At 40.6% G+C, this 15,682-nt stretch overlaps 2 protein-coding genes across 5 annotated transcripts in view; both read left to right on the top strand.

The window, feature by feature from the left end:
* The window catches only part of OR1J2 (olfactory receptor family 1 subfamily J member 2), a 132,995-nt gene that overhangs the window by 61,114 nt on the left and 56,199 nt on the right, over window positions 1–15,682 (top strand). The window contains exon 4 of one of the 4 annotated variants that reach the window (XM_024447517.2): window positions 2,243–5,551. The exons of 1 other annotated variant lie outside the window; for it this stretch is intronic. In XM_024447517.2, coding sequence (XP_024303285.1) covers window positions 2,256–3,197 — 942 coding nt within the window. In that variant the 5' untranslated portion in view covers window positions 2,243–2,255 and the 3' untranslated portion in view covers window positions 3,198–5,551. Of the gene's footprint in view, window positions 1–2,242; window positions 5,552–15,682 lie in introns of those variants that run through there. 2 more of the 4 variants (XM_024447516.2, NM_054107.1) reach the window with 2 other exon arrangements.
* Window positions 10,595–11,536, top strand: OR1J4 (olfactory receptor family 1 subfamily J member 4). The gene has a single exon (NM_001004452.1). The coding sequence runs from the start codon at window positions 10,595–10,597 to the stop codon at window positions 11,534–11,536; it is 942 nt and encodes a 313-aa protein (NP_001004452.1).

Below are 15,682 nucleotides of genomic sequence, written 5' to 3' on the forward strand. Positions count from 1 at the left end.
TCATTTATGATTAGTGACAAATGCTTCCAATGAGATAGCAGCCTTATTTCCCTGCTGGTTAGGTAAGGATTAGCTCTGCTGAGTGATTGCTTTGTTTTGTTGGATGCAAGATGGAAGCTGGGGAAGGACACATGGATTTTGTTGCATTCTGGTCCCTAGATAACCAGAATATTTGGATATACCTGAAGTCTTTCCAGTGCTGATGTATCAGTTTTCTATTACTGCTTTAACAAATTACCACAAGCTTAGTGCTTTAGAAAAACCTCACAAATGTTATTATATCACAGTTCTGGAGGTCAGAAGTCTAAAATGGGTATCAGTGGGTTAAAACTGAAGAGGTTGGCATTTCTTCGAGAGGTTCTAGAGCATAATCTTGTTTTCTTGCTTTTTTCTAGCTTGTAGAGCCCACTTGCATTCCTTATCTCATGGCCCCTTCCTTCGTCCTCTGAGCCAACAACATAACATCTTCGAATACGTCTCTGATTCAGACTCTTCTATGTCTTCTTCCACATTTAAGGCACTCATTATCACACTGGGCCAACCCAGATAATCCAGGATAAGCTCCCCATTTTAAAGTCAGCTGATTAGCAACCTTAATTCCATCTACAACCTTAATCCCACCTTGGAATGCACCACAGCAGATTTACAGGTTCTGGAGATTAGGATGTGGACATCTTTGGGGGTTCTTATTCTGCTTACCACAGCTGACTAGGAGGTGTTGTGTTTTAAGATGACAGGAGTACCCAAGAGGGAGCTGAAAACTTGGAGTACACTTAAAATCTCACTTCTTTTGCCATCTTTTGATAATAGCCTTCACAGTTTGTTATGGGATGAGTGTTATTGCCTAGGGAGGAAAGGGAGACTGGATTGCAAAAGAACTAGAAAATGCACACTTTGAATATAATTTAAGATAATGTCACTTAAACTGCTTTGTGTTGACAGTAAACAATAAAGCGTAAATAAATTTCCCTAAAGTATTTTCTCATAGCCAGTCTGATCTTTACTTTCTCAACATGCCAGGGAATCACAAGAAATCCACAACCACCAAGGGGAAGAAGTCTAAATGACGTTAAATGGAAATGTGCCTTCCCACAAGGTTGGAACAGAGAGGTTGGCAAGGGTGAGGGGAAAGGGAGGGCAAGAAAGAAATGGGAAATGTAGGAGAGATGCAGGTTTTGCAGGGCCTTTAAGCCATATTAAGGTTGTTACACTCTAATCTTAAAGGTCAATGGGAATCCTTTGAGAATTTTTAGACAGGGAAGTCATGTTGAAAGGTAGTTTAAAAAAAGATCTCCAAGACTGAAGTAGAGAAAATGAATTGATACAATCCCTAATTTCTTAGGAACCCTCTACATAATTGAAACAAATAAAAATGTATGCATAATGATAACTGTTCTAATGAGAACACATGGACACAGGGAGGGGAACAACACACACTGGGGCCTGTCGGGGGGTGCGGGAGGAAGAGCATCAGGACAAATAGCTAATGCATGTGGGGCTTAATACCTAGGTGATGGGTTGATAGATGCAGCAAACCACCATGGCACACGTTTACCTGTGTAACAAACCTGCACGTCCTGCACATGTACCCCAGAACTTAAATTAGGAATACTATTCTTTACATACTTTTATTTGAAAAGGCCACCTCTCATCTGAAATTTAACCATGGCTGGTGAAGTCAGATCTTCTAATGGTTGCTGTACCATGACTGATGGCTTGGAATACTCGCCACATTAACTTTTGGGAGCAGTAACTTGGCTGAAACACCTTTCTCCACAGCCTAGTCCTCAGTCCCACAGGTGCAAGATTTATGTTTTGTTATCGAACCAAGAAATACTGACTCTCAGTAACATTTGCCTCAATGCTTTTTTCTAGTTTTCTTACATAACATATAAGGAAAAATATGAGAAGCAGGTTAAATTTTGCACTTTCTGAAATAAAACATATATATATATGTATTTTTAAGTTCTGGGGTACATGTGCAGGATGTGCAGGTTTGTTACATAGGTAAACCTGTGCCATGGTGGTTTGCTGTACCTATCATCCCATCGTCTAGGCATTAAGCCCAGAATGCATTATATATTTTTTCTGATGCTCTTCCTCCCCACAGACCCCCGATAGGCCCCAGTGTGTGTTGTTCCTCTCCCTGTGTCTATGTTAAAACGTACATCTTTTAATATGACTGCTAAAAATGATAATTTCAGAGCCTCTAATATTCTCAAGCATTCTTCATCTCCATCAGAGGGCAAAGGAGTATGAGCCCTGAGAACCAGAGCAGCGTGTCCGAGTTCCTCCTTCTGGGCCTCCCCATCCGGCCAGAGCAGCAGGCTGTGTTCTTCACCCTGTTCCTGGGCATGTACCTGACCACGGTGCTGGGGAACCTGCTCATCATGCTGCTCATCCAGCTGGACTCTCACCTTCACACCCCCATGTACTTCTTCCTCAGCCACTTGGCTCTCACTGACATCTCCTTTTCATCTGTCACTGTCCCTAAGATGCTGATGGACATGCGGACTAAGTACAAATCGATCCTCTATGAGGAATGCATTTCTCAGATGTATTTTTTTATATTTTTTACTGACCTGGACAGCTTCCTTATTACATCAATGGCATATGACCGATATGTTGCCATATGTCACCCTCTCCACTACACTGTCATCATGAGGGAAGAGCTCTGTGTCTTCTTAGTGGCTGTATCTTGGATTCTGTCTTGTGCCAGCTCCCTCTCTCACACCCTTCTCCTGACCCGGCTGTCTTTCTGTGCTGCGAACACCATCCCCCATGTCTTCTGTGACCTTGCTGCCCTGCTCAAGCTGTCCTGCTCAGATATCTTCCTCAATGAGCTGGTCATGTTCACAGTAGGGGTGGTGGTCATTACCCTGCCATTCATGTGTATCCTGGTATCATATGGCTACATTGGGGCCACCATCCTGAGGGTCCCTTCAACCAAAGGGATCCACAAAGCATTGTCCACATGTGGCTCCCATCTCTCTGTGGTGTCTCTCTATTATGGGTCAATATTTGGCCAGTACCTTTTCCCGACTGTAAGCAGTTCTATTGACAAGGATGTCATTGTGGCTCTCATGTACACGGTGGTCACACCCATGTTGAACCCCTTTATCTACAGCCTTAGGAACAGGGACATGAAAGAGGCCCTTGGGAAACTCTTCAGTAGAGCAACATTTTTCTCTTGGTGACATCTGACTTTTTAAAAAATTAGAATCTCATTTTGGTTTATCTCATGTATTTGATTTTCCATTTGAATATGTCTCAAAACATGTTATGTCCTGAAGCCCTAAGACAAATGTTAACATGTTGAATGTAATTGGTAAATATTTGTTGGCCAGAATTCCATTCTCTTATTAACAATGTTATTCTTTATAGTTTTTGGTCAGTGAATGCCAAATTTTGTTATTTATTTCTGCAACTTGGAGAAGGGACATAATAATGCAATAATATACAGTTTTCTTATCCCTTATTTGAGGAGATGTTTGGAGACATATATATTTTTGGCCTATAATCCCAGGCTTTAACACAACATAGAATTGAAAGAATTAGCTGTATTATTTTACTATTCTCTCTAATGTAGACTGAGTGGTATCATTAGTGAAGTAGTGCTTCATACCAGTCTCCTTGGAAATATAACCAAATTCAAGTGCTAACTCTTGGAAAGTATCATTTTCCTAAAGGTGCCACTCCAGATTCAGCACTGACTGTCTTTCATGAAGGATAGTCCTGTCTTCCAAATGAAGAATGAAAAGTAACACTTCTCAAATGTTAGGGTACATGAGAATTTCTGGAAAGATTGTCAAAACTCAGATTCCTTTGATCTACCACTACAAATTATGATTTAGTAGAATTTTGGGTGAGGTCTAAGAATTTGCATTCCTAACAAGCTGCCACATGCAACAATGCTGTAGAATGTTTACTAAATCTTGGAAGTTGTGGGACACACATTTATAACACCTCATCTGAATTCTGGTAGTAGATGGGATGAAACAAGAGACACCTTAAGTTATTTCAGTAATAGAGAAATCAGTGATTCATGTTGATATTTTTGGATTAACTCTAGCTGTGGTAAATTCCTCTCCCCAGTCTCTAAATTATCTCATTTGTATATAATATAGAAATACCCAGCTACTCCATATCATGGTTTGTATCATCACGCCAACCTATATATGTAATGAAAATGAAGCCAAAGTTTGGAAAAAAATTAACATCCAGTGTCCATCTGTGACTTCTTGTTTCCATTAAGCCTCGTGGAATTTCAGTGTGCCATGTAACTTTTCTAATGTCACTCAAAATGCTCTGATTTTCCTTGAAAGATTGGGGCAGGTTCACGTGAGCTATAATAACTCTAACAACATATTTTCATATTTCTGAACTGAAACAATTATTTCACATACGATGCACATTAAATTGTGTATTGGTTAGAAAACACTAGATGATTTCAGAAAAACTATAACCCCACAAAGGGACACAAGTTCTTGGCAGAATATTGAACAATTTTATGTTAAATGGTGTCATTCATTTATAAATGGCTCACTTCATTTGCCATGTTTTTTGACATATCCCATAAAATAGCATTTTTGTGGATCCAATCCATGTTATTGTTATTTTTACCCCAGTCTTTATATCCACTCTTTTTGTCACATTGGCTGTATGCAAAATGCAATATGTTTACTCAATTTTATACATAAAGATAAGGCTAATTACTATGTAAGCAGTAACTGGGATGGCATTGGTGATGGCTTAAACTGGAGTCTGAGATGCGAGGATAGAAATACTTGTGCATTTTGAAGGAGTTTGATATTTGATCTATGTGTGGAATATTGCAGTAGCAACTTCCCTGTTATTCAGCTAATTTCATTCCATAACCTTTCACCTAGGCTTTGGGCGGGTGAAAACAGTCTGGCATTGTTGCCTGTGTTTCCGCAGAGTTCAACCTGAACTTCCATTGTTCATGTATTTTCACAAGCATTTTTTTTTTTTATTTTACTTTAAGTTCTGGGATACATGTGCTGAATGTGCAGGTTTGTTACATAGGTATACGTGTACCATGGTGGTTTGCTGCATGTATCAACCGGTCATTTGGTTTTAAGCCCTGCATATATTAGGTATTTGTCCTAATGCTGTCCCTCCCCTTGCTCCCCACCCCCCGACAGGCCCTGGTGTGTGATGTTCCCCTCCCTGGGTCCATGTGCTCTCATCATTCAACTCCCACTTATGATTCACAAGCATTTTCACAGTTGTTTCTCCTCTTTTCAAAAGGGCAAGCCGCAGACACTAAGGAATTAAGACAATGCAGCACATTAAAAATGATGCTTTTGAAGATATTAAAGTAGCCTTGATCCGACAGCTCACAAAAGAGATGATTTTAAGGCATTTCATAGTCTTTAATAAAATTTCACAGTGAATAAAATAAAACATCTTAAGTAGATATGTATGTATAGATGTGCATAGACATAGAAATGCAAACATGGTGACAATAAATTATCACAGAAAATGAAAGCTATAAAGTACTATAAAATAAATCCCATTATGTAAACAGACATGTTTATGAATAAGTCATTTTTCATTTTATTATTATTTTTTAATTTCAACTTTTGTTTGACATTCGTGGGGTGCATGTCCAGGTTTGTTACATGGGTATATTGCATGATGCTGAGGTTTGGGCTACAAATGATATATCATCACCCAGATAGTGAGCGTAGTACCCAATAGTTGGTTTTTCAACCTTTCTCTAGTAGTCTTCAGTGTCTATTGCTCCCATCTTTATGTCCACGTGTACCTAATGTTTAGCTCCCACTTATAAGTGAGAACATGCAGTATTTGGTTTTCTGTTTCTGTGTTAATTTGCTTAGGATGATGGCCTCCAGTTACATCCATGTTGCTGCAAAGGACATGATTTCATTCTTTTTGATGCCTTCGTAGTATTCCATGGTGTACTACATTTTCTTTATCCAGTGCACCATTGATAAACATCTAAGTTGATTCCATGTCTTTGCTATTGTGAAGAGTGAAAATGCCCTCTTAGACGGATAAAAAATGAATCATGAAAGGGTGAGATACTTTGACTTTCTCCTTTGTTTTCATGTTTATATTATTTGTATTTCCATCATAAAGAGGAATTAGTTTTATAAGCAGCAAACCAAAAAAGAATTTTCATTTGAGAGAAAAATCTCTATAGACATCTCAACCTAACACCTAACCAGGGGAAACCAGAATCTGGCAGGGGAGGTCTTTCCCCATCTCTTTTTGGACTTAAATTCACAGGGCCTGACACTCTTCCTAAGGACAGAGATTCCTTGCAGTCTGCCCTTAGAGCCACTTGCCTCAGAATTTTCTGGCCCCAGATCTCATGAATGAATATCTCCGCAGGTGGAGCTGGGACCTGATCTTTAACAAGCTCCCCAGGTGATTTTGATGAACATCGAAGTTTAGAGACCACTGCCCGAGGGCATCTCTCCTGGGGAGAGTAGGAGGAAAACTGAGCAATTAATGCATGTTTATTTAATGCAAGTCTCTAACCGTGAGCTTTGTGCCCTGTCCCCTTGTGTCCTCTCCCTGGTGGGTAGAATAGACTTGTTACCTCTCCATTTCTGAAGCCTGTAAATTGAGAAGAGTAAGCTCCAGGTTCATGACTTCTTTCTCCGATGTCAGTGAGGTTTAGGACCACAGAATTCGGAGGCTAACTCTGGTCCCTTGGTCTCCTAGAAAGAAGCTGAGAAACCAGTCCATACTCCCAGGAATGACTTGAGCATAAAGTTCAGATCAGGACTGGGTATCCTTCTCCAGGAGCAGGTTGTGTGTGTGTGTGTGTGTGTGTGTGTGTGTGTGTGTGTATACGGGTGCTCAGCATTTCTCTGTGCTCTTCTGGAGTCATTTTTTATTCCCAGTTCCTAAAGACAGGGATGCAACAATCACCACCGGCCAATGACTCTCATGTCTTTAACCCCACGTTGTGGGGAGATGAGGGATAGGGCCAGCTGGTTACATAAATTGGTGGGCATATCCTCAAAATCCAAGCTAGGGGTCTCATCTCATCATTCATGTTCTAGATATTAGAATGTGGGCTTATTTACTGCATACAGTGTTAGAGAGCCCTCTCTAATATTTCTTTCCAAAGTCCCTGATCATTTCCTTCCCTTTAGACAGCACAGCTACTTTCTGAAAGTATATTTGAAGGACATGTTTAGCTAGAGAGCTTTGGGTCCTTTCTTCTTTTGTGTAGCATCCATACTGCATCTTCTTATTACAATCTGCTTGATAATTTCCTGCCTGTAATCTGTAGTGTATTCTTAAACCTTCATCAGAGGCAGCAAACTTTGAGCCCAGGCAACATCTACTACCCCAGTAATTTTTGCCTGGTTTGCACTGAATATAAGACACTGAGTTTGTTCCCTAGAGGTCTTTGCACTTTATTTTAATGGAAACAATGTCATCTCATATACGACACCTTCTATGGATGAGGTGTTTTTATAGACCTTACCTTATTTAATTTTTACTGTAATTCAGGGATTATGTTCACAATTCTAGAGAGGAAAAGCTGAGGCTCCTAAGATGTGCACTACCTTGCCCAAAGACATACAACTTTGATTTGAATCCCTTCTGTCTGACTTCAAAACCTGTGCTTTGTCTTCTACTATAATACACAACCTCACTGTAAAGGAAATATCAGTTATCAGCAAGCAGTAGTTGAGGTTTTAGTGATCAAGAGGCTGAATGTGGTGGGGTGGAGTCCATACATGGTCTTTTTTTTTTTTTTTTTTTTTGAGACGGAGTCTCGCTCTGTCGCCCAGGCTGGAGTGCAGTGGCGGGATCTCGGCTCACTGCAAGCTCCGCCTCCCGGGTTCACGCCCTTCTCCTGCCTCAGCCTCCCAAGTAGCTGGGACTACAGGCGCCCGCCACTACGCCCGGCTAATTTTTTGTATTTTTAGTAGAGACGGGGTTTCACCGTTTTAGCCGGGATGGTCTCGATTTCCTGACCTCGTGATCCGCCCGCCTCGGCCTCCCAAAGTGCTGGGATTACAGGCGTGAGCCACCGCGCCCGGCCCATACATGGTCTTTACATAGAATTTATGCAGATAGAAATAGGCATGGCTGAATTGGATTCAGGGGGCTTTATCAAAATCCTAAATCCCATGGATTAAATAGATTTACAAGTTCAGGAAGGAGTCATCTAATTGATATAGCATGAGAGAAACCAGAAGAGAATGGAGAAGGAGGGGGAGAAGTCCAGAATAGTGAGATATCTGAGCCATCATTCTCTAGGGTGTGGTTGGATGCTGCCTTTCTGCCCAACTTCATTATTGCTGTTTCTGGCCTTTGCCTGCATCAGGTCACGATCTCATGATGAAGTGGCCTTGTGGCACCTGAACTCTGCCAGTATCTGCCTGTTGAAAGGAGTGGGCAATCAGGAGGGAGAAATAAAGGAGACTCAGGAAATGGCAGGTGAGAAACTGATATAAATTGGTTCAGATTGTATGCAGTCATTCTTCACAAATGTTTTCTTATTAATATTCACAATATTCTCATGACTTAGGCTCATAGTCTCATCTCCAGATTAGAGATGAGAAAACTGAAGCTCAGGCCAACTGGATCACTTCTCCAGAACTCACAAATATGAAGATATGAAGTGATGTTGCCAGGACTTGAATCTAGGGCTAATTGCAATGCTTTTGTCAGTACAACATACTACCCTCAGACACTAGGCTCTATCCTTAAGGTCACAGCCCCAGGGAGCCTTAAAATGCTGGAGTGAGCAGGTGCAGCCGGGGAACCTGGGCCAGGCATTCTTGCCCCTTTTCTCTATGGGTCCATTCGGAACTCTGTTATGTTGGCTGCCTTTTGGTAAGTTTCAAAGGAAGGATGGTATTCTCATATGAAATAGGAGTATGCTCAACTCACCAGCTTAAAGAAGCAAAGAATTTTAAGCCTATCCTTAACCTGTACAAAGCTCTTCTGAATTTTTCTCCCAATTAAGAACTGTTATAATGAAATCCTCACATTTTCTATTTACTTAGTATACGTTGGTATATATATTAGGCATTTGGCATTGCTTTTTGACTTAAAGGGAACTTTTCAATTAAGACACAGTGGCACTATAAACTCATTCCTACTGGCCTTGCAGGATTTGGTAACTTAGGTTTAGAATATCTTTTTGAGGTGTTTTTTTTTTCTTATGTTCCAGGGTACATGTGCAGGATGTGCAGGTTCGTTACACAGGTAAACGTGTGCCATGGTGGTTTGCTGCACCTATCAACCCCATCACCTAGGTATTAAGCCTGGCATTCGTTAGCTCTTTTTCCTGATGCTCTCACCCCCTCAAGCTCCCTAGACAGGTCCCAGTGTGTATTGTTCTCCTCCCTGTGTTCTCATTGTTCAGCTCTCACTTATAAGTGAGAACATGTGTTGTTTGGTTTTCTGTTCCTGCATTAGTTTGCTGAGGATAATGGCTTCCAGCTCCATCCATGTCCCTGCATAGGACATGGTCTCATTCCTTTTTATGTATGTTCATTGCAGCACTATTCCCAATAGCAAAGACATGGAATCAACTCAAATGTCCATCAATGATAGACTGGATAAAGAAAATGTGGCACATATATGCCATGGCTTTAGAATATTTTAATGGGTAGATAGTGGCTGTGGAGGAAGCTGGCATATTTTTCTCATTCCTGATTTTAATGGAAATGCTTTAAAATGTCTCCACTAGGTATGGTGTTTACTGTATTATTTAGTTTACTGAGTGTCTTAGTCGGTTGGGCTGCTATAGCTGGGTGACTTTAAACAGCAGACATTTATTTGTTACAGTTCTGGAGCCTGGGAAGCCCCAGATCAAGGTACCAGCAGATTTGGTTTCTGGTGCGGGTCCACTTTCTGGTTAGCAGATGGCTGCCTTCCTGCTGAGTCCTCACATGGCAATGCCAGAGACACTCTTGTGTTTCTTCTTATAAGGGCAATAATCCCATTCATGGGGTTCTACCCTCATGACCTAATTACCTCCTGAAGCTCTCACCTTTAAATATTTTGTGTAAGATTTACTTTTTTTATGGCAGTGATATTGTAATCAATAGACAAGTTTTTTTTCTCATCAACTTTATACATAATGAAAACTTTGGCTGTTTATCTTTGATCCAATTTCTTTTGGATATGTGTTATGGAAACTTCATCCCTATATGTTGCTTACTAATAGATTTTGAAGTCAAATTTTAAAAAGTTCAATATGTTACAACATGAAGGCTCATGACTAGCCTGATGATTGTTTTTAAAAGTACATAAACAATGGAAATTGGAAAGACGTTATCTTACGATCCATCTGCTAATACGGTGTGAAGCTTTCTCTTTACTGACTAGACATGGCTGGTCTTCTCTTCTATTTCAAACCCTCTACTCTCTTGGCGAATTATCCCATTTTGAGTGATAAAACCATCTACTTGAAATGATTTTTTGTAGGGACATAGCAATGTAGACAGACATTGGCATATTCATCAGTAGCAAGGATCTTATTCTTATCTGCTGCTGTAAATCAACATTTGTTTGTTTCTGCCTTTTTCAATGTCCCTCTATTTCCAGCAGAGAGAAGACTGTCAGCATGAAGAGGGAGAATCAGAGCAGTGTGTCTGAGTTCCTCCTCCTGGACCTCCCCATCTGGCCAGAGCAGCAGGCTGTGTTCTTCACCCTGTTCTTGGGCATGTACCTGATCACGGTGCTGGGGAACCTGCTCATCATCCTGCTCATCCGGCTGGACTCTCACCTTCACACCCCCATGTTCTTCTTCCTCAGCCACTTGGCTCTCACTGACATCTCCCTTTCATCTGTCACTGTCCCAAAGATGTTATTAAGCATGCAAACTCAGGATCAATCCATTCTTTATGCAGGGTGTGTAACTCAGATGTATTTTTTCATATTTTTCACTGATCTAGACAATTTCCTTCTCACTTCAATGGCATACGATCGGTATGTGGCCATCTGTCACCCCCTCCGCTACACCACTATCATGAAAGAGGGACTGTGTAACTTACTAGTCACTGTGTCCTGGATCCTCTCCTGTACCAATGCCCTGTCTCACACTCTCCTCCTGGCCCAGCTGTCCTTTTGTGCTGACAACACCATCCCCCATTTCTTCTGTGATCTTGTTGCCCTACTCAAGCTCTCATGCTCAGACATCTCCCTCAATGAGCTGGTCATTTTCACAGTGGGACAGGCAGTCATTACTCTACCACTAATATGCATCTTGATCTCTTATGGCCACATTGGGGTCACCATCCTCAAGGCTCCATCTACTAAGGGCATCTTCAAAGCTTTGTCCACCTGTGGCTCTCACCTCTCTGTGGTGTCTCTGTATTATGGCACAATTATTGGACTGTATTTTCTCCCCTCATCCAGTGCCTCCAGTGACAAGGACGTAATTGCCTCTGTGATGTACACGGTGATCACCCCATTGCTGAATCCCTTCATTTATAGCCTAAGGAACAGGGACATAAAGGGAGCCCTGGAGAGACTCTTCAACAGGGCAACAGTCTTATCTCAATGACATTTACTCTTCTTTATAACAGACATATGTACTGACCTATTTCCAGATCATAGATCCTTACTTCTGATCCCAGCAAGGGATAAGTGCTCAGTAACTCTCTGATGACTTGAATTGCATCCTGTTACAGTTATTCTCCCTTTTCCTCTTTAGTGCAAATTGTGAATTCTGAGTTTACATAATTGTTTATTTATCTTGCCTATTAGATTCAGAAATTACATAGTTAACAGAACTTAAATCCTTCATTTTATTTCCTGGAAATTTATTTGTTCTTAGGAATTGTTTAAATATGTTGACTAACAGGATTCCCTTGCCATAGAAAAGTTGAAGGATTGGGTACTTGTAAAGGCATTTCCCTTTCTTTCTTCCCATTCAGTTCTCTTCTCACATTTTTTATTGTTGTTGCTGATGGTGGTGGGTAAGGAGAAGAAACTATATAGTACCCTTTACAGATCCAAAAAGCTATTCACTGTCATAAGTTCAGCTGTTCCACTTCAGAACTTGAGGTTCCTCTTCTAGACTACAATAACTTTCATTCAACAGTTCACTTTCAGACCAATGTTTATGAAGCTTTCTGACTACACATGTGAGCTTCAATCACGCCGCAGACTTACTCCAGGTAATGAATGAGAAGAACAAAAAAGTCTTCACAGTCAGGAGCCTTCTGTTGCCGTCACTAAATTTGATCCTTTTCCCATTCAGTGTCTTCGTTGTCTTTCTTATTGAAAAGCATTTCTACTCAGCTTAATGGCCCCTAGTTTGTATTATATGCCCAAGTCATCTTTTATCTTTTTCTTCTATCTTCTATGGTCTCCGCCATCCAGTGAAGGGCATATAGGTCTCTTTTTTCATTCCTCTACTTAAAGATAAACAGAACTACAAATGCTTCTGAGAAGCAGCAATGTGTAGCTGCAAGAGAAGAATATTTGGAAAGCTAGATCTCATTTGTAATCTCTATATACCAGGGTGGTGGCTGCGTGGCCTCAGACAATTCACCCAATTCCTTTGAACCTCAATTTCTTCTTCTGTATAGGTGAAAAAAGTTCTGCAACACCTAACATATTTTATTTGAAGTAAATGCAGTAATAAATTGGGCTTAACACTACAGCTGACCAAGAATAATGAATGTGAATTTTCTCTACCTTCTCCATCAGAGATGAGTTTTGAAGCAGAACTTGTGCAGACACTCCTGAATTATGGTGACCATGGGCAGCTTGTCATGTTGGTTATATTCCCAATTCAAAAGCAATAACCTGCCCTAGGACACAGCAACATATCTGTTCTGGCTTGAGCTAGAACCAAATAACTAAAGGGCAATGAACAAGTGAGTTCATGTGTGGGTAGGTAAGGAAAGACAGATCAGAAAAAGACCTTACTCTTCACTTGTTTGATATTGACTCAAAGAGTGATCCTTCATCGGGGGCTCATGTAGCTGCCTTTTGGCATCCAGTCCTTTGTAGAACAAGAAAGAGTGCCACCCCCACTCCTTGCTGCAAGCACAGGGTCACTTTGTTTACAGGCTTAGCCCCGACCTTTTCCAGAGCCAAAACCTGAACAGGGATAGAATCTTTATTGTTGGTTTATTGTTGGTCTAGGTAAAGCATGCCTTGATAGCCTCAGCACAATCATGACCTGCTGTACACTCTCATCTCTGCTATAGTGATGTGATCTGTAGAACTAAGTGCCTGACTCAGTTTCCCTGCCGGCACCCCAGTTCTGTTGTTCAGATCCCTGAAGATCTGCCTAGTCTTGTCAGGCCCATCCTCCAGAGAGACCAATATTGTCATTTATGTTTTAGCCACAGGCTGGTGACACTTCTCTGAATGACTTTTCCTCAAGAAATGGCAAGCTCACTTGTCTGTTGGGAAGTGTTTCATCACTATCTGTCTTACCAGTCCACCTCATCTCCCAGATCAGTTTGTCTTGGTTTTGGACAGCCCAAAGCACACTGGGGTGCACCGTATTGATTTGAATATGCAAATAGAACTGAACATCAATCACATTGGAAGTGTGCACTTTATATGAGTGCATTTCCCTCTAGCCATGCCAGGGCTAGGATTCGTGACCTTTTCCAGTGAAGCACCTCATTGAGTTTAGAACAAAGCTTGCTGCATTTTTGAAATCCATGAATGTGTGATTTTTTTTCACAAGTTAACAAATAGTTCTGAAAATTGGCAATTATGGACGTTTCAAGTGACCAGTGTACTTCCTTCTCAAAAGTTAACACTAATTCTTTCACAGTGTGACAATAGAACAATCTTCCTCAGAGGGGAGGAATCAAAACATCCTAGAACCAGGAACTCCAGCACTTGATTTTAGCACATATGTAACACACAATTCTGACATGGAAATTTTAAGAGTAAACAAAAATTATTCTATTTTGTCACAGATGGAAAGTGGAAGGGGAATTTGCTAAAGAATTAAGTTCACTTAGCTTTTGAAGGAAAAAATAAACCCATTAATGTTGTGATGGTTATATTATTTGAATCCAAGAACTGTGTGCATGTGTGTGTGTGTGTGTGTGTGTAACTCACATATACATACAATTTAATTTGTTTGTAATTAAGGACAAATGTTGGAATTAATACTAAAAATAGTAAAACATTCTTTATTTTATAGATTGTGCCCCTCAGTAGCCATTCAGCAAGTTACCTGTCTGTGCCAGGCAGTGTGCCTATTCTTGGTCAAACAGATCTGGATAAAGAGAAAGCCTCCAGGCAAAAGAAGCTCATATTCTGATAGTGTAGCAACAGGTAAACTAAGAAATATGCAAGAGTACAAAAAGTGCCTTAACGTAATAACACCACGAATAGTTGTGCTTATTTTGCATGGCTACTGTGTGTCAGGCATTGTATTAAAAGCTGTACCTGTATTATGTCATTTAATCCTCATAATAATTCTACATATATACACTGTTACTATCTATATTTTACAGCTGGGAAAATTGAGGCTTAGAGACGATGAAATACTTACATGGTAGTAACACAAGGGCGTATAGTTAATGCTGCCTGGATATCAGCAAAAGCTTTACAGGGGAAGTAATTCTTCAGTTGGGGGTTGAAGGATGCTCAGGATTGATACATAATGGAACAAATGAGTCTAGGTAGAGTGGACAGAGTGGGCCAGGGCACTGAATTTGCATGGTATGTTCAGGGAAATGTAAGAAAAATGATGTTGCTATACATAGGTGTGTATGAGTCAAGGAAGCATCAAGAGGTGAGTCTAGACAGGGAGACAAAGACTATATTGTGAGGGGGGTAGATTGTCCTGTTAAGAGGTTTAGACATTGCCTTGCAAGTGATGGGCACCATTGGCTGGGGTGGGGTGGAATTGGGATTAGTCTCAGGGAAGGTTATGTTTGTGTTTTCTAAAGATTACTCGGGTAACCAACGTGTGAGATGGTTTGGCAATGGATCGGAGTGCCTTGAATCAAGATGCTTAATTAGAAGGTCATTGTACATTCAGGTAACAGATAATGTGTGCCTGGATGAAGACAATGGCATATAGATAGAGAAGAGAATACTCTTGAAGGTAGACTAGACGGTATTGGTAATTGATGGGAAGTAGGTGATAGAATGAAGGATTGCTCTTGATTTATGGTTCTGTGGACTGATATTTAAGAACAAAATGGAAGACTAGGCACCTTAAATAATTTTGATTAGGTTTAACAGTCTTAAGGAAGTGAGGAAACAAACTGAAGACCATTTGCTTCTTAAAAATGGGTTCTGAGCAAGAAGAAAGCAAAACCCCTAAATAGGCAAGGGGCACTGGGAAGCTTTCTATCATGCTACCTCTCTCCATTACCCCACCTCTGATTCAAAGCATGCCCTGCTCATTACCCTACCAAGGTGCAAAGATTTATAAGTCACCTGTATGTCAGCAGGAATTATTTTAATGCTAACATCACATTAATTCTCTTTGACATAGATGACCTTAAAGGAATAGAAATTTGAGCTTATGTTTTGGGGATGGGTGTGATAAGATAGTCATGTGCCTCATAATGATGTTTTGGTCAACAATAGACTCCATATGCCACAGTGGTTTCAAGCTCATAATGGAACTGAATAAATCCTATCACAGAAATACTTACCATAGTGTTACAGTTGCCTACAGCATTTAGTACATTAACAAGCTGTACAGGTTTGTAGC

This window comes from Homo sapiens, chromosome 9 (genome assembly GCF_000001405.40).
Source record: "Homo sapiens chromosome 9, GRCh38.p14 Primary Assembly".
NCBI lineage: Eukaryota > Metazoa > Chordata > Mammalia > Primates > Hominidae > Homo > Homo sapiens.